Source organism: Homo sapiens, chromosome 15 (genome assembly GCF_000001405.40).
Source record: "Homo sapiens chromosome 15, GRCh38.p14 Primary Assembly".
Taxonomy (NCBI): domain Eukaryota; kingdom Metazoa; phylum Chordata; class Mammalia; order Primates; family Hominidae; genus Homo; species Homo sapiens.
The window spans coordinates 91,087,105-91,112,959 of record NC_000015.10 but is presented as its reverse complement, the minus strand read 5'-3'; the positions used below and the strand labels follow the sequence as shown (position 1 = coordinate 91,112,959).

At 43.7% G+C, this 25,855-nt stretch overlaps 1 protein-coding gene across 12 annotated transcripts in view, besides 4 other annotated features; it reads right to left on the bottom strand.

Moving 5' to 3' along the window:
• Nucleotides 1-13,372, bottom strand: part of SV2B (synaptic vesicle glycoprotein 2B) — a 202,978-nt gene extending 189,606 nt beyond the window's left edge. For 5 of the 12 annotated variants that reach the window (NM_014848.7, NM_001323032.3, NM_001323034.3 and 2 more), the window contains exon 1: nt 12,597-12,703. Coding sequence is in view for 1 of the 12 variants with exons in the window: in NM_001323036.3 (NP_001309965.1) it covers nt 11,862-11,883 (22 nt within the window). In the remaining 11 variants the exon portion in view is untranslated. Of the gene's footprint in view, nt 1-10,639; nt 11,165-11,861; nt 12,010-12,596; nt 12,704-13,269 lie in introns of those variants that run through there. The other 7 variants (NM_001323037.3, NM_001323038.3, NM_001323036.3 and 4 more) reach the window with 3 other exon arrangements.
• Nucleotides 1,821-2,346: an enhancer, noted in NCBI's record as "H3K4me1 hESC enhancer chr15:91653844-91654369 (GRCh37/hg19 assembly coordinates)". NCBI's record gives its function as "activates a minimal SCP1, AML or CMV promoter by ChIP-STARR-seq in naive H9 embryonic stem cells {active_cell/tissue: H9 hESC(naive)}" and the evidence as "EXISTENCE:reporter gene assay evidence [ECO:0000049][PMID:30033119]".
• Nucleotides 2,347-2,873: an enhancer, noted in NCBI's record as "H3K4me1 hESC enhancer chr15:91653317-91653843 (GRCh37/hg19 assembly coordinates)". NCBI's record gives its function as "activates a minimal SCP1, AML or CMV promoter by ChIP-STARR-seq in naive H9 embryonic stem cells {active_cell/tissue: H9 hESC(naive)}" and the evidence as "EXISTENCE:reporter gene assay evidence [ECO:0000049][PMID:30033119]".
• Nucleotides 12,477-12,876: a silencer, noted in NCBI's record as "silent region_6838". NCBI's record gives its function as "represses an Ori minimal core promoter by ATAC-STARR-seq in GM12878 lymphoblastoid cells {active_cell/tissue: GM12878}" and the evidence as "EXISTENCE:reporter gene assay evidence [ECO:0000049][PMID:35858748]".
• Nucleotides 12,926-13,467: an enhancer, noted in NCBI's record as "OCT4-NANOG hESC enhancer chr15:91642723-91643264 (GRCh37/hg19 assembly coordinates)". NCBI's record gives its function as "activates a minimal SCP1, AML or CMV promoter by ChIP-STARR-seq in naive H9 embryonic stem cells {active_cell/tissue: H9 hESC(naive)}" and the evidence as "EXISTENCE:reporter gene assay evidence [ECO:0000049][PMID:30033119]".

The following is a 25,855-nucleotide window of genomic DNA, read 5'->3' as shown; positions in this document are numbered from 1 at the left end:
TTTTCATCCCAGCTACTCAGGAGGCTGGGGTGGGAGGGTCTCTTGAGCCCAGGAGTTTGAGGCTGCAGTGAGCCATGACGGCACCACTGTAATCCAGCCTGGGTGGCAGAGCAAGACCCTGTCTCTAAAAGAGAAAGAATAGAATTCAAAATGCTACATAAATGGTGGGGATTATAAGTAAGTTTTCCTTTTCTTTGCCCTATTTTCTAGATGGTCTGTAATATGTCTTTAATGTATCCAAAATGATGAGGAAAAAGAGAAAGCGGGAAAATCCCCTAATCAGTGAGTCTTTGAGGAGTTATGGGTAGAACTATATAATCCAGGTAACTACCCAAGAAATACAGGCAAATCCTGCTTCCCTGATTCCCTTGCTTCTCTCTCATCTTTTTCAAACAGAACTTTCCACTCCATTTGTTTTGGGTAACAACAACCTAAAAGCTTTTTCTTTCTTAAATGCTTTCCATGCTCTCTGGGATCTTTCTGTGCCTCAGAGCATTTCCAAGACTTCAATCACAGTTTCCAAGGCTGCTTCTCTATTTGGATGGAGATCTGTGACCAAGACCAAACCAAACTTGTGGTCTGCTTAATTCACACCCGGCCACACATCGTGGCTGAAGCACAGGACAGCGGCGATCTCACCACTTGCAGGAGCATTTCAGGAGCCAAGACAACCAGCTCCTCTGTATCACCATGGTTCTCGAGCTTCTTCCTCCTTGGCACATCTGGTGACAACATTTAAACCCACAAGAGATTCTAGTGGGCGTCCTGCTACTTCTCACCAAACTTCTCCCCATCCCCCTTCTCCCTATCCCCACCCGACCCAACCCTCACCCCACCCCCAGCCAATACCACCTCAGACCCCATGTTTTGGCCACAGCAGATGACATAGTTTGGATGTGTGTCCCTGCCCAAATCTCATGTTGAAATGTAATCCTCAGTGTTGGAGGTGGGGCCTGGTGGAAGGTAATAGGATCATGGGGGTACATTTCTCATGAATGGTTTGGCACCATTCCCTTGGTGCTGTCCTGGCAATAGTGAGTGAGTTCTCATGAGATCTAATCACTTAAAAATATGTGGCAACTCCCCTCTCTCTCTCTTGCTCCTGCTTCTGCCATGTGACATGCCTGCTGTCTCTTTGCCTTCTTCCATAATTGGAAGCTTCCTGAGGCCTCTCCAGATGCCACCATGCTTCCTGTGTAGCCTGCAGAACCATGAGCCAATTAAAACTCTTTTCTTATAAATTACCCAATCTCAGGTATTTCTTTATAGCAATGAAAGAACAGACTAATACACCAAACCCCCTATTGTTCCAAAATCAACCATGCATTTTCAGGTCTACATGCTTCTCCTGAAACCATTCCCTATCCTCCCCACAACAGCCCAACCTTCAAGGCTCATCAGACAATATCCCCTCTCCTGTCCAATAGCTTTGCCTGGCCCCCCGTCTTCTTTCCTCATGCAGCAATAGCAACGGCTTCCAGCCTCACTCTCCCCAATTCTCTCAGCATGTACCTCCCCACCTTGTACTCTAAGTATTAATTAATGAGCTCCCCTACTGCAGAGCTCTGAGCTGACAGGCTCTGGGGCTCTTTGCCCTGCACCATCTCAAAGAACCACAAGAAAGTAAGAGTTTGCTCAAGAATCCAGGAACTGACTGGAAGGCCAAGCCAGCCAGCAGGGGCCTTGCTTGTCTAAAGAAATGGGCTGAAAGTAACAAGACATAAACCTGGGAGTGACACAGGTAAAACTGAGAAACCTGATAGGACTAGCCCGGCCTCTGACAGCCCTCTGTAGTGCCCCGAGATGCTGCATGCTGAGCCACCGAAGAAGCAGGCGGCCACCAGTCCTGTGATATGAGGGTGGGAGCCCAGCACAGCTTTTCTGCCACAGACGTGGGCGGCGCCACCAAAAAAAAGACCTTATCCATCATGGGAAATAGGAGAAGCTGGCTCAGCACCCCACCGTGTTTTCATATACCCTTTCTCATCTACTTCTCCATTGTCCCATTTGAGTTTCTCTTCTTTGCCTTAAGTTTCAAGCTACTGCCTTTACATTGCTACCCTATAGCTTTCCTTTCCTTAAAGCTTCATGTTTATGCTTTGCTTTAAAAAACAAAAATTAAAGTGGCTGCATTTAATTCACAGACCCTTACACTGGCATGTGTGGGATGTGTTCGTCACTTGTCATAGTGCTAGGGGTGGAACTAAATTCCTTGAGCCCTCCAGGGTCAAGGGCAGAGGCTCCCGACATTCCCATGACCTTTCCAGCCCCATCTCCCAGGCCCAGCACTTTGCCTAGGGCAGGCCACCCCACGGTGCCTCTTCCTCTCCCGCAGAGCCTCCCACGTGCCAGCTGGGCTCCATTCCTCGGCGCCATCTGCTGCACCCCAGATCAGGCGAGAGGCCACGGTCAGATTCTGCGTGCGATAGAGCAGGGATGGCAGGCAACACAGGAGCCACCCTCACTGGGCCTGGGCTCTGGGAGCCAGGCAGGGAAAATCCCAGAGGATTGAGCAATCAGAGGAGGCTGTTGAGGGGCCTAACCAGGCTCTCACCTGCTTGGGAGAACTAGTTGTGCCATTTCAGAGGGTTTCTAAGCATGACAGTGTAGGGGACCCACACCCCGTTTTCCTGTTCTCTCTTGGCCTCTCATACAAACTTAACATTGCTACAGCCCCGACCTGAGCTTTGACCCTCTCTCCATCATTAACTTACTGTATGAATCCAGGAGCCAATTAAACCTCTTTTCTTATAAATTACAATTCTGTTTTCATGGTCATTTCATGAGAGAAACATGCAAATGAACACTGCTAAGAAGAAGGAACAGAACACGTTAATGGATAAATGAGCTGTCCATCATTACTCCTGAGTGAGCGTGATTTGTAATGTGAGTAATGACGGACAGCTCTTTTATCCACCCAAATAAGCTATTTCCGAGGTGGATGCAGTGGTTCATGCCTGTAATCCCAGCACTTTGGGAGGCCAAGCCTGGAGGATTGCTTGGGAAATCCAGCCTGGGCAATATAATGAGACCTCGTCTCTACAAAAAATTAAAAAATTAGCCAGGTATGGTGGGACACGCCTATAATTCCAGCTACTTGGGAGGCTGAGGTGAGAGGATTGCTTGGGCCCAAGAGGCAGAGGTTGCAGTGAGACCAAGATTGTGCCACTACACTCCAGCCTGGGCAACAGGGCAAGAACATGTACCAAAAAAATTTTTTTAATTATTTCCTTCCTTGAATAATAAGAAGTTTGGATTCCCCGCTTTCTAGGGTCCCTTCGAGCTCTGAAACTGTAAGATCCTACAGTTCAATTAAGGTCTTCATTGACTTGAGCATATTCTGGACCTGAAAAGGAACCTGCCCATGAAATATTCATTAAAACAAATCACGCTCACTCAGGGGTAATGATAGACAGCTCATTTATCCATTAACGTGTTCTGTTCCATCTCCTTAGCAGTGTTCATTTGCAGGTTTCTCTCATGAAATGATCATGAAAACAGAATTGTAAATCACACCTATCACACCTAGGTGAGTTTTGGGAGCCTAGAGCTCCTGCCCACACACATATCACCTGGGGTTGACATAAGAAGTACTTAACAGCACCAAGCTCCCAGTTTGAACAGTCAACTTCCAAATCCAGACACCTGTGATTCAACAATCAGCTTCTGGATGCAGACATCCGTGATTCAAGAAGGCCCCAGCGGTCTGGAAGAATTACCTTCTCTTGCATCTATGCAGAGCTGGCAGGAAACAAATGAGATTGTGCATCCACTTTTCCAAGGGTACTTTTGTCTGTCATTTCTTTTCTCTGCGCCTCAGATATCTCATCTGTAAAATGGGCACAGGAGGAAGGATGTAGCCTATCTGCCTCCTGAAGAAGTTCAGTTCTGAGGGGCTAGACAGTCATCCGTTAGGAGAGAATTTTCAATTGCCTTTTGTGAAAAGAAAATTAATGCTACTCTCTCCCCTGCCAACCCATACAGAATCAAGCTCTAACAACTGAAGGGAACAGGAGGTGGGTGGAGCAGAAGTGTGTATAGAAAACAGGAAGACTTAACGGGACCACAGGCTTCTGTGTGGGAGCTGAAGCAGGGAACCCAGGTGTGGGTCTTTGTTGCTAAGTCAGGAGACACTGTTGCGTTACCTGTAATCAAAGGTCAGGACAGCAAGGGAGCTTTGGCTTTGCTGACGATGTAACTGGGGGCTTAAAGGGAAAGCTGAGTATATGATTCTTGATCTAGGGGATGTCAGAATGGTAGCCAAGGCATGAGGGTGGTGGAGAGAGGGTAACATTAGCTGCTGAGTACCTGCCAGAGACTTAGCTCATCACTGTCACTTACCTGCTGATCTCTTGCCCAGGCCGGGAGGAGCAACCAAGAGAGCCACAGCCAACAGAGAAAACACAGCAGCATTTATTCACCATGTATCTAATAAATACGTATAGTGTGCCTACTATGTGCCTGGAACAGGAAGAACCACAGACCTTTCCAGAAGAACACCATGCAGTGGATTCTGTGGGAGCCACAAAGGCATCAGACAGGAAAGCTTCTGCATCTATATACTACACATGACTCCAAAATTTTCATTATGGAATTCCAACAAACTATGCGACACTGCAGAACTGAACTAAGGAGATTGGCTTATTGCAGAGAAGGGAGGTTAGTTTTCCTCTGAGGCACCTTGAAATGTCTAGCCCATAAGGCTAGACATTTTATTATTGTCCCTTTGTCTAATTTTGAACATTATGGGCCCCATGGAAATAATCTTCTAAATGGCACTGTGAACATCAAATTCTCATTTCTCCCTTCACATAAAATCTTTAAGTCCTTCAGCTGGTATGGTAATCCTTTAATCAATATTTACACCAACATAGTTCCAAGTCCAGGAGCATGAAGGAGACTGCAGAACACTGGGGTATGATTACTATCATCATCATCATCACCACCACCACACCACACCACCATCATCACCTTACAACTGAGGAAACCCAGGCTCAGGGAAATTAAATAATGTGCTCAAGTTTACACAGCTAGAAAGTAAGGAAGCTTGGGCTGGGCATGGTGACTCACACCTATAATCCCACCACTTTGGGGACTAAGGTGGAAGAATCACTTGAGCCCATGAGTTCAAGACCAGCCTGGGCAGCATAGCAAGATCCCACCTCTACAAAAAAATTTAAAAATTAGCCGGGCATGGTGGTGCATGCCTGTATTCCCAGCTACTTTGGAGGCTGAGATGGGAAGATCACTTGAGCCCGGGAGGTCAAGGCTGCAGTGAGCTGAGTTCACGCCACTGCACTCCAGCCTGGTTGACAGAGTGAGACCCTGTCTCAAAAAAAAATAGAAAGTTAGCGGGCACGGTGGCTCACGCCTGTAATCCCAGCACTTTGGGAGGCCAAGGCGGGCAGATAACAAGGTAAAGAGATCAAGACCATCCTGGCCAACATGGTAAAACCCCGTCTCTACTAAAAATACAAAAATTAGCTGGGCGTGGTGGCACGTGCCTGTAGTCCCAGCTACTCAGGAGGCTGAGGCAGGAGAATCGCTTGAACCCGGGAGGCAGAGGTTGCAGTGAGCTAAGATTGTGCCACTACACTCCAGCCTGGTGATAGAAGGATACTCCATCTCAAAAAATAAATAAATAAATAAATAAATAAATAAACAAACAAATAAAGTAATGAAGTCTGAGTGCAAACCCAGTTCTGTCTGATGCTAAAGCCCACTGCTCCATCCTAGCCCCATGTGGTCAGGCCTAGTAACCACACGTAAAAATGAAGGGCAGCTTGCATCTCTTTCTCACACTTCCTTCTGGGATTTGGTTCTTTTTCTCCGCCACTGGCACATTCTCCATCTCTCTCTCTCTCCCTCACACACACACACACACAACCACTTTCAACAGCAGTACCTGCTTTTTCTTGTTTCACTCCCTTCACCAACATCATTGCAAACAAAACTTATATAGAATCAGACACACCACGAGAAGAAAATGGACAGCACCCACAGCCTGAGGCTGAAGTCATTCCAGCCCTCCCCTTTTCCTATGAAGGCTATTCCCTATTTCTTCCTTTTATAAACAGGAACACATTATGCAAGCTACTGTAGATGTGGGGTTTCTCAAGCAAGCTGGTGACACTCGGCATAAATTGATTTAAATAAAATTCTCCCCTTTCAAGATTCTTCCTTGCTTCTGCCTCATCTTAAATTAAGAGCAGTACAATAATAACCCAAGAACATCACACCCCTGAATTTCAGCCACCTCCCTCTAAAGGATCTTTTCTCATTTTTTGAAAATATGAGCTATTTTTTGGTTTCCACTTGTTCCTCTTTCTTTCTTGTCACCACACGTTGCTTTCCGTATGATATAAGCGATTGGAGCCTTCACATTTAAAGCCTCTTTTTAGTGCATAAGATCCACAATAAGGCTCCCATGAGACCTTGTAAAGAAAGGAAATAACTTCAAGGAGTTACACTTCAAAATCCACCAAAGCAAAGATTTGCAGTCAACTCTAGTAAGTAAGTGGTTCCATTCACTCATTCAGTACATATCCATTGAGGATATACAATGTGCCAGACAATATTCTGGGCACTAGTGATACAGCAGTGACTTGGCTCACGGAAAAATAAATAACATGCTAATGATACTCAAACCTATGTCTCCTTCCTGAAACTCTTCCCTGAACTCTAGACTCTCATATGCAATGAACTACTTAACATCTCCCATTGGATATCCAATTAAACCCCATCACTGTTTCCTCTCCACCTCACTAAAGTGCTACTCCATCCAGCTGCTTAGGTCAAAATTCATTATGTCATCTTTTTCTCATACTCTAAGTATCTAACTCATCCACACATCCTGCCTGCTTTATGAATTTAGCCACTTCTCACCATCTTTTTTTATTTTTATTTATTTTTGACATGATCTCAATCCATTGTCCAGGCTGGAGTACAATGGCATTATCGTGACTCACTGCAGCCTCGACCTCCCCAGGCTCAGGTGATCCTCCCACCTCAGACTCCCGAGTAGCTAGGGCTACAGGCATGTGCCACCACACCTGGCTAATTTTTTTATTTGTTGTAGAGTTGGGATTTTGCCACGTTGTCCAGGCTGGTCTCAAACTCCTGAGCTCAAGTGATCCACCCACCTTGGCCTCCCAAAATGCTGGGATTACAACTTCTCACCATTTTAAGTACTATCCAGCCTGGTCCAAACCACCACCCTCTCTCACCTGGGTCACTGCAGTACCATCCTGACTAATCTCCCTGTTTCCACCCTTATCCTCCAAGAGTCTACACTAAGCTCTAAAGCTCAAGGGATCCTTGGAAAACATAAATCAGCTAATAGCACCCTGTGCTCAGAATTCTCCAGTGGTGTCCCATTTTCCTCAAAATAAAGGCTAAAGTCTACACAAGGCCCTACAGGACCTTCTATTAGCTGGCTCCCTGCTACTTCTCTGATCTCTTCTCCCACGCTCACCCTGTCTCGTTCAGTTCCTTCTACATAAGCCACCTTGCTGTTCCTGGAACATGCCAGTTATCTGTTGCCTCGGGGCCTTTGCACCTGTTCTCCCTACCTGGAAATGTCTTTCCCCAGATAACTGTCTGGCTCACTCCTTCACTTCCTTCATGTCACCCTGACCACCTTGCATAAAATACCCACACTTCGTTTTACCCTACCCTCCCACTCCAACACAACAAGGCACCCCCCATCTTCCTTTCCCTGCTCAACATTCCTTAATCACCTGATATAAAACATACATTATTTACTTACATATTATTTGTCTCCCTCAACTAGAATGAATGCTTCATGAGATGGGTCTACTTCCTATAACATGCCTGGCACATAGAGACCACTCAATAAATATTTATTTAGTGAATGAATGATTATCTAAAGATACATACATCTCTAGATGGTCAACCACAGAAACACAGAAAGAGACAGTCACAAGAGCAAGTACAGGCTCTGCCCATTCGAGCAGAGTCCGGAAGAAAAGGAAACCTAGCCAACAGCACTTTAAATGTTCAGGTCCCAGTCAGGCGCGGTGGCTCACGCCTGTAATCCCAGCACTTTGGGAGGCCGAGGCGGGCAGATCATCTGAGGTCAGGAGTTTGAGACCAGCCTGACCAACATGGAGAAACCCCATCTCTACTAAAAATACAAAATTAGCCGGGCATGGTGGTGCACGCCTGTAGTCCCAGCTACTCAGGAGGCTGAGGCAGAAGAATCGCTTGAACCTGGGAGGCTGAGGTTGCAGTGAGCTGAGATCGCACCACTGCACTCAGCCTGGGCAACAAGAGTGAAACTCCATCTCAAAAATAAATAAATAAATATTCAGGTCCCTATGGTAGATTGATTGATTGATTGATTGCAAAATGTCTCAATTCTTCCCCTCCCTGTATCTGTACATTTTGCAATGTGACTATGTAGCTCCTCCTATCAAGAAGTGGAGTCTGTTTTCCTAACTTTCCACTCTGGGCTATCTTGTGCCTTAATTTTGTCATTAGACAAAGATAAAGTGACGGAGTGCCAGTTATCAGCTTAGGCCTCAAGAGGCCATACAAGCTTTTACTTTCTCTTAGCCTCCTGCCACTACCATGTGAACATGCCAGGCTAGCCTGCCAGAGGATGAGTGACCACATGGAGCAGAGCCAAGTCATCCAGCTGAGGCCATCCTAAAGCAGCCAGCCCTCAGACACTCCATCAGCAGACCAAAATCACATGAGCAAGCACAGCTGAAATCAAGCAAGCACAACTCAGAACTGCAGAACTACCCAGCCAACCAAGAGACATGTGAGAAAATAAGAAATGGCTGTTGTTTTAAGCCATTAAGTTTAGGGGTGGTTTGGTCTGTAGTCCCGTTGGCAAGGTTGGCCCTAAAGCATGTAATCAGTCCCTAGGGTACGCATCTAAGCTGCTTTGCTCTGAATAATGTGCTTCAGGAGATCTTCTCCTTGTGATTTGGCTGTTATGACAGGGGTCTGCAGGAAGAAGACCCACCAGCCAAGCCACACAGTGTCTCAACCACTGCAAATCAATAAGCTGGCATGCAGGTGAACAAGGTCACTGTGACGTGGCCCGGAAAGACAGATCAGGTTTCTGAGGCAGCAATACTAAAAGCCAGATATTGGATGGGGGAAATTCACAGAAGTAAATGTTGCCTTCTGAGGTGGACTCGGGGACACCCAGCCAGACTCTCTGACCTTGACCCAGCCTCACCTCATTCTATTTCACAGAAACTTTGACTAGGTTCTCAGGCATCCAGCCCCATTTCTGGCCATGGAACACACTGCAGTAGCCCTTCTGCACCAAGGACAGCTGAGTGATGAGGCTCTCAAATGCCCAAACCATGTTTTCTCTAGAGGAATAAAGTTTCCAAAGGGCAGAGCAGCAAACTGATCTTTATGTTAAGCCTATAAGATAGAGGCTTTAAATAAATTTGCCATATGATATTATGTAAATGCATTTCATGGTACACTGAAGGTCAGCATATTTCCAGATGATCCCAACACTTTTCCATGATCATAGAAACTCTTCTCATTCTCAAAGAAAAAAGAATATCTAGCAAGGACTGCTGGCCTGTTTGCTAAAGATGACCTTTTCTTTTAGTGTGGGGGAAAGGAAACAAAAAATCATAATACTAAGATTCAAAAGAAGCACAAACACAGTCCTCCATCCGGATGGGAGAAATCTGAATGTTGCGTTCCACAGTGTCCTTAATTCCTGTGCTTCCTGTTGCCTTGCAAAGACCTATGCTTTCTGCTTCCTGCATTCGTTTATGCTCTGAATGACCACAAGTACTTATATCTACCAACCAACCTTCTTCTAAACACAGAGTTTAGGATTTCATCCAGTTCCTTAAACAATAACTCAGCACATACATCATAGTGACAAATAGGAATCCTAAGAGGCAATATCTCAAATACCTGCCGTGTTGCCCCTATGACCTCAGGTCCTACTGCTGTCCCGGGTGTCTGACTCAACAGCAGCTTCCGTGGCCTCCTTTCTGGGTCTCTTGGGAACACACCTCTCTCCTATCTCAGGGTTTTGCAGGTGCTGCCTGCAACCTCTGGCTTCCTCCCTCACTTCCCCAGATGTCTGGTAAAATGTCATTTACCAGAATCCCTGGCTTCCTCCCTCACTTCCCCAGATGTCTGGTCAAATGTCATTTACCAAAAAGCCTTCCCTGGCCAAGCTGTATAAAAATAAATAACAAGCCCCACCCTGCCCTCTGGCAGCACTCCCCAGTCCTCTCAGCCAGCTTTATTTTTCTCCATTACAGTGTCTCATTAGCTGATACACTCTATACTTATTTATTTGTCCATCATCTTACACACACACACATACACACACTCTCTCATTAATTTAAGCTCCTTGAGAGAGGGCTTTTTTGGTTGTTTTTGTCTGTATTCTCCACACATAGAGCAATGGCTGACACATAGTAGGAACTTAATGAATGAACTGCCATTTCTTGAGCACCTACTTTGTGCCAGGCAAGTTATATATGATGATCGGGTAACAATGAGTAAATATTTTAAAGTATCTTTTCTTTAATTATTATAAGAATCCTATTACTGTCTCCATTTTACAGATCAGGAAACTAATGCTCAAAGAGGGGCTGAGTAACTTGCCCAAGACACTCACCTAGGTCTGTTTGAGCATCCACGCTCATGCTTCTTGTAGTGCACGCTGCTTTTCAAATACCTTAATGATGATGTAGGCGCATGTAACACACATCTCTGGCAAATACATAACACAAGAGCTTTTCATTCTATCATTTTTCGTCACCCATCACAGCTTTGGTCCAGGAAGAAACATCCTTGAGATTGGATTTTCATCTCCCAGAAAAGACTGGTAGTAACAGCTTTAGTTTTCCCTTATTCCACCCATTTAGGGAAAATCAAGGGAGAGTTTTCCTTTTGAACTGGGCTGGGACAAGAACAGATAGGTCGGGGACCCAGGGAGAAGCAGACAGAAGTTCATCTGCTCTGAAACTCCCTCAGAATTTTCCAGAGTCCCTGCCTTTGTGAAGTGTTGCTTCAAAACCTTCATAGTCCTGGAATTCAGGAAAAGCATTCATTAAAAAAGGAAAAAATTAAAGTCTGACTTGTATTGTGTGTGCTCCTCTCTGGGTGTCAGCCTGTGTCTACTGGGGTCTAGTCACATACTGCAAATACCAGCCCAGCCGAGACTTGTAAAGCTCTGCCCACCCAGTGGCAGTGATGGCAATGGTGTGGGAGAGTCATGTGGGTCACTCCCGGACCGAAGAACCAAGAGAGCGACCCAGTCCCTGCTGAAATCCACGCCATGCCTAATCCATGAGGGCTTCATTTTTATACTAATCACTGCCACTATCAATTTCCTCCTCCTCTCTGCTCTCACTGCTCTTTTCCAACACCATCATGAACTTATCCACCTCCTGATTACGAGTGCTTCTCCCCCTACCAGGTGTGAACCTCAGGGAGCCAGGACATTGTTATCATCATCTCTGCATCCCCAAGGACTAATCCCATCTCTGACAAATACTAAGTGCTCAGTAAGTATTTGCTGACTCAAGAAAGATGCAGAACGAGCCTGTACCTACTGCACCAACTGGAACAAGCAGAACAAGTCACCTCTTCTGGAAAGGGCAGGAAGCAGAAACACAGAGGAGACCAGCATAGACCAGAACCACCGCTGAGCCGACTACAGTGCCCAGTCCTCCCTCATGCACCCTCCTTACCCCTCACCTGCCACTCTCTGAGCCCCAAAGCCACCCACATTCACCTCCCCAAGGGCTAGAAAGCCAGCAAGCATTCCCCCAGCGTCCCACCCCACCCCACTGGGGCTGCTCTTATCAGAGCCCAAGACACCAACGTTAAGTTACCCTTAAACGGAGTAATTTGCATCTGTAATTTCCGGATAAAGGAGTGTATTTCATCAGCCCTGCTGAACCCTGGACAGCAGAGATTTCTACCACCCGTCTGCCGAAGACACAGCGGTGCCTTGCTCCTCCCTGGCTAAACGCATTTGCTAGCCCATCCCTGCAAAACAAGTCATTTTCTTTCCCTTGCGCTAAAACCCGTCCATAAACAAATCCTTCTGTGTCCCTAAGAAACGGCTCCCACGCCCACGGAGGGCGCCCTGCACATACAGAAATACACACTCACAAACCCCAAGAGCCACCAGGTGTAAGCACGTTTGAATTCTGTTCTTTAAGAACAAGCCAACAACAATAACAAAATCTATCTACTAGAATGTAACTGAAACTAAAAGCAGCGGCTAGGAAGCTTATGGAAACGGAGCTATAAATGCCAGCAGCCTGACATTTATAAGTTGCAAAACTACTTATGGCGCTAATAGTTCAAACAGGGTTTTAAAACAGCCCTTGGGGAGGCCGCTTTCAAAGAAGCGCACAGCTCCAGGCAGCGGGCAAGTCCTTGCTTTTCTGCGCCGGTTTTTCAAGACTCTCCGATCTTTTGTGCCATTTACTATGAACAGCACTCAGCTGTGCGAGCGTGTATATTTCAGCCCAGGCAGGCGAGTCTGGGAGCCCTGGCGCACGCGGGGTCCGCGCCCCGGCTGGGTCGGTTGCACCGCAGCGAGCAACGCAGTCCCCTACCTGGGTGGCAAATCCGCTGGCGGCCGCCTCCGGATGCAGGCAGAGCAGCGTCCGCCCCGGCAGCCCCGCGTGCAGCTCCGGCTAACGCGGAGCTGGGCGATCCGGGCGGAGGCAGGCGCCGGCGGGTGTCACACCTGCATCACCGCGCCCACGCCGCCCCCGCCAGCCGCCCAGGCGCAGCGCGCAGCGCGCCCCCGCGCTACAGAGCACGCGGGGCGGGAGGCTCCTGGGTCCTCTACTCAGCGGGATCAGATCCTAACCCGCTTTCTTCCCGGCCCGGGCATTAAAAGTATTCGCTGCGGGCAGCTCTGCTTCTAAATCTCCTTCTGATCGAAGGCTGGGTGTGGAGATAGCTCAGAGGGAAGGAGGACCAGTGAGGCCGCAAGGTCTCCGGATTTGCAGACCAATAAATATTAAACTTCTTATTCCTCGAGTTTTGTAACCAGCTGATCATGGGCGTCGTCTCGCTGTCTCCACCCCGCCTAGGGCGAGGGGGCGCTGTGGACTCCACATGCCCTTCCACCCACTCCGAACTAGGATGCGTCAGAGGACTAGACGCAAGTTCCCGGGAAGGGGAATCCTCTGATCACGCCGCCCCCAAAGTATCGTCGATCATGGTGCTGTTCGACTGCTTTGTTCTCGTTTGCCTCATCAGGAACTGAAGAGAACCTACCCGGCCAGCGCGGGGAGGAGGAAAGCCTGCAAGGCTTGGTGCATTCAAACAAGCCCTCCACCTCTGTCTCCCTCCTTCCAAACCACCACCCACTAACTCCACTGACGAGAGTTCAGCAAACTAAACTGCCAAGGCTCAGCACCGAAAGACTCTTTAGGAGCATAGGGCTCCTTCTAGGAGCAAGTAAGGAGCAAGGAAAGGACACTGGAAATTCGGATGCGGACTCAAACAGCACAACACTGCAGGTGCCTGGCCCCTCTAGGATCCGAAGCTACGTTCCTTTCCTAACAGGGCTAAAATGAAGGCCAGTTCTGGAAGAGCCTTCCCCCTCTTCTCCATGGAGCACATCCTCCATCATGAGGTCTTCAGCTGGACTCCCCACTCTCGCTGCCGTCAATGACCTGCGCTCCAGCTCCCTGCCTCTTCCCTGGCTGGGGCCTCCGCCGACTCGCACCTGGACCACCCGCAAGGACTTCAACTTCTCAGGCTCCTGGAGTCATTTCTCAACATGTAAATCTGATCTTGACTCTTTCCTACCTAAAACCATGTGATGGCTTCCCAGTGTCCTTGAAAAATCCGAAACATTTTTTTTTTTTTTTTTTTGAGACAGGGTCTGGCTCTGTTGCCCAAGCTGTGGTGCAGTGGCTGGATCACAGCCTCAACCTCCGCAGCTCAAGCAATCCTCCTGCCTCAGCCTCTCAAGTAGCTGGGACTACAGGCATGCGCCACCACTCCTGGCCAATTGTTAAACGTTTTGTAGAGTAGAAGTCTCACTCTGTTCTCCAGGCTGGTCTGGAACTCCTGAGCTCAAGTGATCCGCCTGCCTCAGCCTCCCAAGCTGGGATGCAGGCTCGCGCTACAGCGCCAGCCTAACACATCACATTTAGTGCTGGAAAGCAAACCCTTGCTAACCCCCCACAGCCTCACCCCTCCACCCTCATCTTTTCCCCTGTACTCTGGCCATATGGAACTTCTAATTCCTTGGACGTGCCTCACTCTTTCACCTCTAGGTCTTTGCACATACTGTTCCCTCTGCTTGGAATGTTCTCCTCCTCCCATTCCTCTTACCTCTGCCTAAAGCCTTATTCTCAGCTGAGCCATCTCTTCCTCAAAGAAGTCTTCCCTCATTCCTGAAATACCTGAATTCTCCCTGCTCCATGTGCCCAGAGCTACCATTAGTTCCTCTACTACAGCACCCAACGCCTTACTAAAGTTGTTGTCCGGCTTCCATAAGAGAATGTAAGCTGTAGGAACGCACGCCTCTGTTGTCTGCCTCATATGGACAGGGACCCAGAATATCGTATCTGCTTAATATCTATTGCTACAGCCACCATCCAGATTAAGGTGGCAAACAGTCCTGGCATCAAGGGGTCTCTTTATGCTCTTTCCCAGGCAATACCAGTCACCCTCCACCTAGGTGTAACCACCACTCTGACCCTTTTCAGCAGCAATTAGTATCACCTGCTCTTGAACTACTCATGAATGGAGTCATACAGTATATATATAGTATGTACTCTTTTGGGTGTGGCTTCTTTTACTCAAAATAATGTCTGTGAGATTCTTCCATATCATTACATATATCAGTAGGTCATTTTTTTCTTATTGCTGTATGGTATTCTATTGCCTGAATATAACACAATTTATCCCTTCTTCTATGAGTGTACATTTGAGTTGCTTCCAGATTTTAGCTGTGATGAATAAAGCTGCTATGAACTTGTTTTTTGTTCTTTTTTGGTTTTTTGTTTTGTTTTGTTTTGAGAAGAAGTCTCGCTCTGTCGCCCAGGCTGGAGTGCAGTGGCATGATCTCAGCTCACTGCAACCTCCACCTCCCAGATTCAAACAATTCTCCTGCCTCAGCCTCCCAAGTAGCTGGGATTACAGGCACATGCCACCAAGTCCGGAAAATTTTTGTATTTTTAGTAGAGACGGGGTTTTGAAATGTTGGCCAGGCTGGTGTCAAACTCCTGACCTCAGATATCCACCCACATCAGCCTTCCAAAGTGCTAGGATTACAGGTGTGAGCCATGGCACACAGCCTGTTATGAACATTTGATAGACATATGTGCTCTTTTCTTTTGAATATGAAACTAGGAATAGAGTTGCTGGGTCACAAGGTAAATGCCTGTTTTTGCCTTAGTAAATAGATACAGTACTTTGCCTTAGTAGATACAGTACTACCAAACAGTTTTCCAAAGTGGTTGTGCCAATTTACAGTCCTAGTCCCATCTGCAATATTTGAGAATTCCAGATGTTCTATTTCTTTGCCATAACTTGGCATTATCAGTGCTTTTAATTTTAGCCATTCTTGTGTGTAGTGTAAATTACATTGAAGTTAAAACTTTGATATAGTTTTAATGTGTGTTTCTTGATTATTACTAATGTTGAGCAATTTCTTATGCTTATTGGCCATTTGGATATTCTTTTGTAAAGTTTCAAGTCTTTTGACCAATTTATTGGGTTTTCTGTCTTTTTCTTATTGATCTGTAGGCACTCTCTCTGTTTTAGGTATAAATCCTTGGTTGGATATAGTAATTTTAATATCTTCTCCGTGTTTGGGGCTTATATTTTTATTGTCTTAATTTTAATGACACACAACATTAATTTTTTCTTTTGTGATTAAAAGACAAATGCTTTTGTGTGTTTTGTTTAACAAATCTTTCTTTGTCTCAGGGTTGGGCATCTATTGTCTGGTGTTTCTTTCCTTCTACAAGCCTTTGTTTTACCCTTTACATTTTAGTTTATTTTCTATTTGTGCATGGGATAAGGTAGGCTGAAATTTTACTTTTATTTCAAGATAGCAGTTGCTCCAAAACCACTGTGGAAAAGATCATTCTTTATGAATTAGCTTGCAATAGCATCTTTGTTATAAGTCAAGTGACCATCTATATGTGCATCTATTTCTAGACTCTTCATTCTGTTTCACTGGTCTGTGTACCTATACTTACACCAACACTACACTGTCTTAGTTACCTTTATTATAAGTCTAGAAATCTGATCATGTTTGCCCACCTTTTTTCTTCTTCCAAGTTGTCTTGGTTCTTTCGGGTCCTTAACTTTTCCACAAGAATTTTAGAATCAACTTGTCAAATTATGCACACAATCCCTGGTGGGATTTTGATTGGCATTGCCTTATATCTATAGATCAATTTGGTGAGAATGAACACCTTAGCAATACTGTCCCCCAATAATTTTACATTTTATATCTCTCTACTTATTTTGTCTTCTTTAATGTCACTCAGAAATACTTTCTAGATTTCAATGAATAGATCTTGCCTATGTTTTGTTGTATCATGCTTAAATCTTTGATGTTTTCATTCTATTGTAAATAGTACTATAACTTCATTTTTAATCTTATTGCTAGTATACAAAAATACAATTAATTTTAGATTGACCTTATATCAGTATCAAAATAAAACTTATTTCGATATATTGTTCTTATATTTTATATCCTTTTAATTGCTAAATTCACTTATTAATTTTTACAGCTTGTATAGGCCAGGCGCGGTGGCTCATACCTGTAATCCCAGCACTTTGGGGAGGCCGAGGTGGGCAGATCACAAGGTCAAGAGATTGAGACCATCCTGGCCAACATGGTGAAACCCCGTCTCTACTAAAAATACAAAAATTAGCTGAGTGTGGCAGCACATGCCTGTAGTCCCAGCTACTCAGGAGGCTGAGGCAGGAGAATCACTTGAACCCGGGAGGTGGAGGTTGCAGTGAGCTGAGATCGCACCATGACACTCCAGCCTGGCAACAGAGGAAGACTCCATCTCAAAAAACAAAAACAGAACAAAACAAAAAAGCTTATATATTCTTTGATATTTTTAAGGTACAGAATATATGTGATTAAAGACAATTTCACTTTTTCTTTTCCAATGGTTACATCTTCTACATAAACTTTTTCATGCCTTATTGCTCTAGCTAGGCCCTTTCATAAAAGTGATGACACCGGGCATCATTGTCTAACTCTCAAATTTGGGGAATGGGGCATCTTCATACTGTTATGTATGATGTTAACTGTAAACGTGGTAATAATGAACAGCATGTCTTAGTCATAACTTCAGAGGGAAAGCACTCTTACTAATAAGTATGATGCTAACCATAGGTGTATAGGGGAGGAAAAATAAGTTCCCTTCTACCCTTCTAAAATGTTTGGCTGGGGCTTCTGAAACAAAATACAGATTAACAAGAGAAAACCAAACAAGTTTATTAACATGTATATCTTACATATGCCTGGAGGATACCCAGAAAATAAGTAATTCTCACAGAGATAGCTTCAAACTCCATCTTATACAACATCTTCAACAAAGAATAATAAATTTTTAGAGAAGTGACAAGACAAAAGAAAAGGACTTTGAGTCTCCTACAATTTAGGAAATTGTAGGAAGCCAAATATACAGGAAACTAATGGTAGATAAATGCTAGTTAAGCATGTTATGTAGATGTTCTGCTGCTGTCTCCAGGCTGATAAGGGTCTAAAGTCATTTCTATCTGGTGATTTACTTTTAGCGTTCTTGGTTGAGAGTGGAGGGGAGACTTTCATGTATATGTATGCCCTGGTTTTAGGAAAATAGGGAAAGGACAGAGAGTTTTTCTTGTATCTGCTTTTCCCCAATTGTCTTTAGCTCAAGATAAGCCTTATGCCAAAGTGGCATATTTTGGGGAGATATTTCTAATCTTTATATTTAAAAGCTTCCCTCTTCTGTTAGATTGCTATGAAATATATAATAAATGGGTGTTAAATTTTGTCATTTTTTTGCATCTACTGAGATGACCATATGTATTTTTTTCTTTCATTTGATTAATATAGAAAATTACCTTGAATGACTTTTGAATGTTAAACCAACCTTACATTTCTCAAATAAACCCCATTTTGTCATGGTGTAATATTTTTATTATCATTGCATTTGATTTGATAATATTTTGTTTAATATTAGAGATTAGCATGTAATATTTCTTCTAGTGTCCCTATCACATTTTTTTATTATACTTCAAGTTTTAGGGTACATGTGCACAATGTGCAGGTTTGTTACATATGTATACCTGTGCCATGTTGGTGTGCTGCACCCATTAACTCGTCATTTAACATTAGGTATGTCTCCTACTGCTATCCCTCCCCCCTCCCCCCACCCCACAACAGTCCCCAGTGTGTGATGTTCCCCTTCCTGTGTCCATGTCTTTTCATTGTTCAACTCCCACCTATGAGTGAGAACATGCGGTGTTTGGTTTTTTGTCCTTGCGATAGTTTGCTGAGAATGATGGTTTCCAGTTTCATCCATGTCCCTACAAAGGACATGAACTCATCATTTTTTATGGCTGCATAGTATTCCATGGTGTATATGTGCCACATTTTCTTAATCCAGTCTATCGTTGTTGGACATTTAGGTTGGTTCCAAGTCTTTGTTATTGTGAATAGTGCCGCAATAAACGTACGTGTACATGTGTCTTTATAGCAGCATGATTTATAATCCTTTGGGTATATACCCAGTAATGGGATGGCTGGGTCAAATGGTATTTCTAGTTCTAGATCCTTGAGGAATCGCCACACTGACTTCCACAATGGTTGAACTAGTTTACAGTCCCACCAACAGTGTAAAACTGTTCCTATTTCTCCACATCCTCTCCAGTACCTGTTGCTTCCTGACTTTTTAGTGATTGCCATTCTAACTTGTGTGAGATGGTATCTCATTGTGGTTTTGATTTGCATTTCTCTGATGGCCAGTGATGATGAGCATTTTTTCATGTGTTTTTTGGCTGCATAAATGTCTTCTTTTGAGAAGTGTCTGTTCATGTCCTTCGCCCATTTTTGATGGGATTGTTTTTTTCATGTAAATTTGTTTGAGTTGACTGTAGATTCTGGATATTAGCCCTTTGTCAGATGAGTAGATTGCAAAAATTTTCTCCCATTCTGAAGGTTGCCTGTTCACTCTGATGGTAGTTTCTTTTGCTGTGCAGAAGCTCTTTAGTTTAATTAGATCCCATTTGTCAATTTTGGCTTTTGTTGCCATTGCTTTTGGTGTTTTAGACATGAAGTCCTCACCCATGCCTGTGTCCTGAATGGTATTGCCTAGGTATTCTTCTAGGGTTTTTATGGTTTTAGGTCTAACATTTAAGTCTTTAATCCATCTTGAATTGATTTTTGTATGAGGTGTAAGGAAGGGATCCAATTTCAGCTTTCTACATATGGCTAGCCAGTTTTCCCAGCACCATTTATTAAATAGGGAATCCTTTCCCCATTGCTTGTTTTTGTCAGGTTTGTCAAAGATCAGATAGTTGTAGATATGCGGCATTATTTCTGAGAGCTATGTTATGTTCCATTAGTCTATATCTCTGTTTTGGTACAAGTACCATGCTGTTTTGGTTACTGTAGCCTTGTAGTATAGTGTGAAGTCAGGTAGCGTGATGCCTCCAGCTTTGTTCTTTTGGCTTAGGATTGACTTGGTGATGCAGGCTCTTTTTTGGTTCCGTATGAACTTTAAAGTAGTTTTTTCCAATTCTGTGAAGAAAGTCATTGGTAGCTTGATGGGGATGGCATTGAATCTATAAATTACCTTTGGCAGTATGGCCATTTTCACGATATTGATTCTTCCTACCCATGAGCATGGAATGTTCTTCCATTTGTTTGTATCCTCTTTTATTTCATTGAGCAGTGGTTTGTAGTTCTCCTTGAAGAGGTCCTTCACATCCCTTGTAAGTTGGATTCCTAGGTATTTTATTCTCTTTGAAGCAATTGTGAATGGGAGTTCACTCATGATTTGGCTCTCTGTTTGTCTGTTGTTGGTGTATAAGAATGCTTGTGATTTTTGTACATTGATTTTCTGTCCTGAGACTTTTCTGAAGTTGCTTTTCAGCTTGAGGAGATTTTGGGCTGAGTCGATGGGGTTTTCTAGATATACAATCATGTCATCTGCAAACAGGGACAATTTGACTTTCTCTTTTCCTAATTGAATACCCTTTATTTATTTATCATGCCTGATTGCCCTGGCCAGAACTTCCAACACTATGTTGAATAGGAGTGGTGAGAGAGGGCATCCCTGTGCCGGTTTTCAGAGGGAATGCTTCCAGTTTTTGCCCATTCAGTATGATATTGGCTGTGGGTTTGTCATAGATAGCTCTTATTATTTTGAGATACATCCCATCAATACCTAATTTATTGAGAGTTTTTAGCATGAAGGGTTGTTGAATTTTGTCAAAGGCCTTTTCTGCATCTATTGAGATAATCATGTGGTTTTTGTCTTTGGTTCTGTTTATATGCTGGATTACATTTATTGATTTGTGTATGTTGAACCAGCCTTGCATCCCAGGGATGAAGCCCACTCGATCATGGTGGATAAGCTTTTTGATGTGCTGCTGGATTCGGTTTGCCAATATTTTATTGAGGATTTTTGCATCAATGTTCATCAAGGATATTGGTCTAAAATTCTCTTTTTTGGTTGTGTCTCTGCCAGCCTTTGGTATCAGGATGATGCTGGCCTCATAAAATGAGTTAGGGAGGATTCCGACTTTTTCTATTGATTGGAATCGTTTCAGAAGGATTGGTACCAGCTCCTCTTTGTACCTCTGGTAGAATTCGGCTGTGAATCCATCTGGTCCTGGACTTTTTTTGGTTGGTAAGCTATTGATTATTGCCTCAATTTCAGCTCCTGTTATTGGTCTATTCCGAGATTCAACTTCTTCCTGGTTTAGCCTTGGGAGGATGTATGTGTCGAGGAATTTATCCATTTCTTCTAGATTTTCTAGTTTATTTGCGTAGAGGTGTTTGTAGTATTCTCTGATGGTAGTTTGTATTTCTGTGGGATTGGTGGTGATATCCCCTTTATCATTTTTTATTGTGTCTATTTGATTCTTCTCTCTTTTCTTCTTTATTAGTCTTGCTAGCGGTCTATCAATTTCGTTGATCTTTTCAAAAAACCAGCTCCTGGATTCATTAATTTTTTGAAGGGTTTTTTGTATCTCTATTTCCTTCAGTTCTGCTCTGATCTTAGTTATTTCTTGCCTTCTGCTAGCTTTTGAATGTGTTTGCTCTTGCTTTTCTAGTTCTTTTAATTGTGATGTTAGGGTGTCAATTTTAGATCTTTCCTGCTTTCTCTTGTGGGCATTTAGTGCTATAAATTTCCCTCTACACACTGCTTTGAATGTGTCCCAGAGATTCTGGTATGTTGTGTATTTGTTCTCGTTGGTTTCAAAGAACATCTTTATTTCTGCCTTCATTTCATTATTTACCCAGTAGTCATTCAGGAGCAGGTTGTTCAGTTTCCATGTAGCTGAGCAATTTTGAGTGAGTGTCTTAATCCTGAGTTCCAGTTTGATTGCACTGTGGTCTGAGAGACAGTTTCTTACATTTTCTGTTCTTTTACATTTGCTGAGGAGTGCTTTACTTCCAACTATGTGGTCAATTTTGGAGTAGGTGTGGTGTGGTGCTGAAAAGAATGTATATTCTGTTGATTTAGGGTGGAGAGTTCTGTAGATGTCTATTAGGTCTGCTTGGTGCAGAGCTGAATTCAATTCCTGGGTATCCTTGTTGACTTTCTGTCTCGTTGATCTGTCTAATGTTGACAGTGGGGTGTTAAAGTCTCCCATTACTATTGTGTGGGAGTCTAAGTCTCTTTGTAGGTCACTAAGGACTTGCTTTATGAATCTGGGTGCTCCTGTATTGGGTGCATATATATTTAGGACAGTTATCTCTTCTTGTTGAATTGATCCCTTTACCATTATGTAATGGCCTTCTTTGTCTCTTTTGATCTTTGTTGGTTTAAAGTCTGTTTTATCAGAGACTAGGATTGCAACCCCTGCCTTTTTTTGTTTTCCATTTGCTTGGTAGATCTTCCTCCATCCCTTTATTTTGAGCCTATGTGTGTCTCTGCACGTGAGCTGGGTTTCCTGAATACAGCACACTGATGGGTCTTGACTCTTTACCCAATTTGCCAGTCTGTGTCTTTTAATTGGAGCATTTAGCCCATTTACATTTAAAGTTAATATTGTTATGTGTGAATTTGATCCTGTCATTATGACGTTAGCTGGTTATTTTGCTCATTAGTTGATGCAGTTTCTTCCTAGCCTCGATGGTCTTTACAATTTGGCATGTTTTTGCAGTGGCTGGTACTGGTTGTTCCTTTCCATGTTTAGTGCTTCCTTCAGGAGCTCTTTCAGGGCAGGCCTGGTGGTGACAAAATCTCTCAGCATTTGCTTGTCTGTAAAGTATTTTATTTCTCCTTCACTTATGAAGCTTAGTTTGGCTGGATATGAAATTCTGGGTTGAAAATTCTTTTCTTTAAGAATGTTGAATATTGGTCCCCACTCTCTTCTGGCTTGTAGAGTTTCTGCCGAGAGATCAGCTGTTAGTCTGATGGGCTTCCCTTTGTGGGTAACCCGACCTTTCTCTATCACATTTTTGTATCAGAGTTTACTGGCCTCATAAAATGGGCCAAGAAGTATTCTCTCACTTATCTTTTTTTGGTAGATTAGTATCCTTTCTTTCTTATTTAAAGATTTAAAACTTAAATCAGTATATCTCCTCTATTTGCTTTTTACCTTTCCCTTTTTCTATTTTAATAATATTTGGATACTCTAGAGATTTTACAGTGCAACTCTAACAACTTTAAGTTAACCTTATTACTCTTATTACTTCCCAAACAATGCAAAAACCTTGCAAAAATTAAACTACATTTGTCTCTTCCTGACTTCTGTGCTACTATTTTCATATATTTTACTTAGTTTATAACACTATAAACCCGTTAAAAGTCAATATCCTTCTATATTGAATTGCATATGTCCCATTTATGGTGGTCTTCATTCTTTCCTGAAGTTCTGTGCTTCTGAGATCCTTTTATTTCAGCTAGTACACAGCTCCTTTTAGTATTTCTTGTAGTGCAGGTCCACTAGGGACTAATATTCTCAGCTTTTGTTTGACTTCAGATGTCTCTATTTTACCATTATTTTTGAAGGATATTTTTCACTGTGTATGAATTCATAGATAGAAGTCTCAGCCGGGCACGGTGGCTCACGCCTGTAATCCCAGCACTTCGGGAGGCTGAGGCGGGTGGATCACAAGGCCAGGAGATCGAGGCCATCCTGGCTAACACGGTGAAACCCCATCTCTACTAAAAAATAGAAAAAATTAGCCAGGTGCCTGTAGTCCTAGCTACTTGGGAGGCTGAGGCAGGAGAATGGCATGAACCCAGGAGGTGTAGCTTGCAGTGAGCCGAGATCGCGCCACTGCACTCCAGCCTGGGCGACAGAGCAAGACTCTGTCTCAAAAAAAAAAAAAGAAATAAAAATACATAAGCTTAGAGTGGTCAAGTGATTTTAAGGCCAGACAACCAGTAAGTGATGGGGACGAGAGTCCAAATCATGGTATAGTTCTGAAGCCTGACCTCTTTCCACAAAATTATCCTTCTCCTATTCACATAGGCTTGGTTCCTCCTCAGTTTGGTTCCAACTTAACTGTCCTGTCTTATCCCTCCTCATTTCCATTCCCACTCCTTCCATTCTAGCCACATTGCTCTATTCTCTCAAATGCTCTGCGCTTATTTTCTGTTCTGTGTCTTTACACACACTTCCTCATTCTAGTACTGTTTTTGATCCTCAACCCTGGAAAAGGCCAATTTATCCTTCAAATTTCTACTCAGATTCCATATCCTCCAATAAACATGCTCAGACCACCCTCTTCTGTCCCCCAGTTCCTCATAGCAATCTCTCCCTTCCAGATATTTATGTATTCTCTGTACTACTTGTTCATTCATTTAACAGACCTTTATTCACTTCAGGCACTGGAAACACAAAAATGACTAGAAGTGAAATCCTGTAACAGACACATTGAGCACTTGCTATGCACCAGGCACTGTTCTGAACCACTTATACATTCTACGTGTTTAATCTCCACAGCAACACTCTAAAGTAAGTACCTTTTTCCCAATCTAAAAACAAAGAAAAAAAAATAAAGAAAATAAAGTCAATACCTTTTTTACTTATGAAACTACTGATGTACAATGAGGTTAAACAAGCTTCCCAATGTCACACAGCTAGGAAGTTGGGCAAATGGGCTCCAGTGCCCATACTTTCAAAACCACTACCTCACATAAGTTCAGATGAAGCACAGAGAAGATAAGCCTGCCTCACAGAAGTCTTCACAGAACAGGTGATGTTTTAAGGGTGTCTTGAAGAAAGATGAAAGAAGAAATCAGGAATAGAAGAGTGCAATGGACATTGTGGTTGATTCCCCAGCATGCAATCCAGTCTCTCTCAGCAACTGTGAACTTTAAAAAAGTTTAGAAAAGATATGAACCTCATGAATGGTTCGTGACTGACCTAAAATTAACCATCTCAGTAATTGCAGTAATTCCAGTAAGTAATTTCAGTGCCCCTTGGCTAAAATTCAAGATGAGATTTGGGTGGAGACACAGGCAAACCATATTATGGGGCTATTTGCTTCCTCTTTCACATCCAGGAGAAGAGGAAGAGTGCCTCCAAGAGTAGTTCTTCCTTCAGCATGATCTCATGGACTTTTTGGGACCAATTTTTGTAGGTTTGCTTGTGCACAAGGGTCCAGCTGGTCCCCCACTTGTTTCCTAGAAGACACATCTGCTAGCAGAAGAGCCCTGGAGCAGAAAGTGAAAACTACGCTGTGCAGCTGAGGCAAGGTGCTGATGCACCTGGGCAGAGCTGATTCCTGCACCAATTGCTAGATTAAAGGTAGACTGAGGGGCTATGAGGCAGGGCACAGAAGGTGCCCTGTAGTACTGGATGTCAAAGAAAGAAAAATCACCTGCAAGCTCAAGGCCATCATTCAGTTGCTAGAATCAGGCTACCTCTGTACTTCCAGTAATGTAAGCAGCAATTCCTCATTGTTGAAGCAACCTCTTTCTTTTTAATTCCCCCTTTAATAAAAGGAGACTGCAAGACCGAAAAAAAGTATGAATTGTAGCATGGCAAGTAACAGCAGAAAGGCAGTCAGAGATATAGAGTTTGTTGTCCTCATTCGTTTTGAAGCCTTAATGGTAACACATCATTCATATTCAGAAATGGCTTTTTATTTATGTAAAATAAAGCATGCTGCCTTTTTTGTAACCTGAAGCCAAAATCATGTCAATTCTTATAGTAGTTATTTCATACAGAAGAAATAACCTGCAAAATCAAGTAAGAAATTCATTAATCAACTCAGCCTTCCATTCAACAAATTTGAGGTACCTCTCATGTACCAGTCAATGTTGTTTTCACCGGAGATACAGCAGGGAACCAGATAAAACTGCCCACCATCAAGGAGCTTACAGTCTAGTGGGGAGAAACAGACAGTAAGCAAGTAAATATCCAGGGGAGGGAGAAAGCTAATGCTGACTTTGTATTTTAATGGATCGTTTTGGCTTCTGTATCAGGAATAGACTCTAAGGGGCAGGGGTGGAAGCAAGGAAACCAACTGAGAGACTCACATAGCGATTCAGGCTAGAAATGATGGTGGCCTGGACCAGGTGGAAAGAGTGAAGGTGGGCCAGGCATGGTGGCTCATGCCTGTAATCCCAACACTTTGGGAGGCCAAGGCAGGTGGATTACTTGAGGTCAGGAGTTCAAGACTAGCCTGGCCAACATGGTG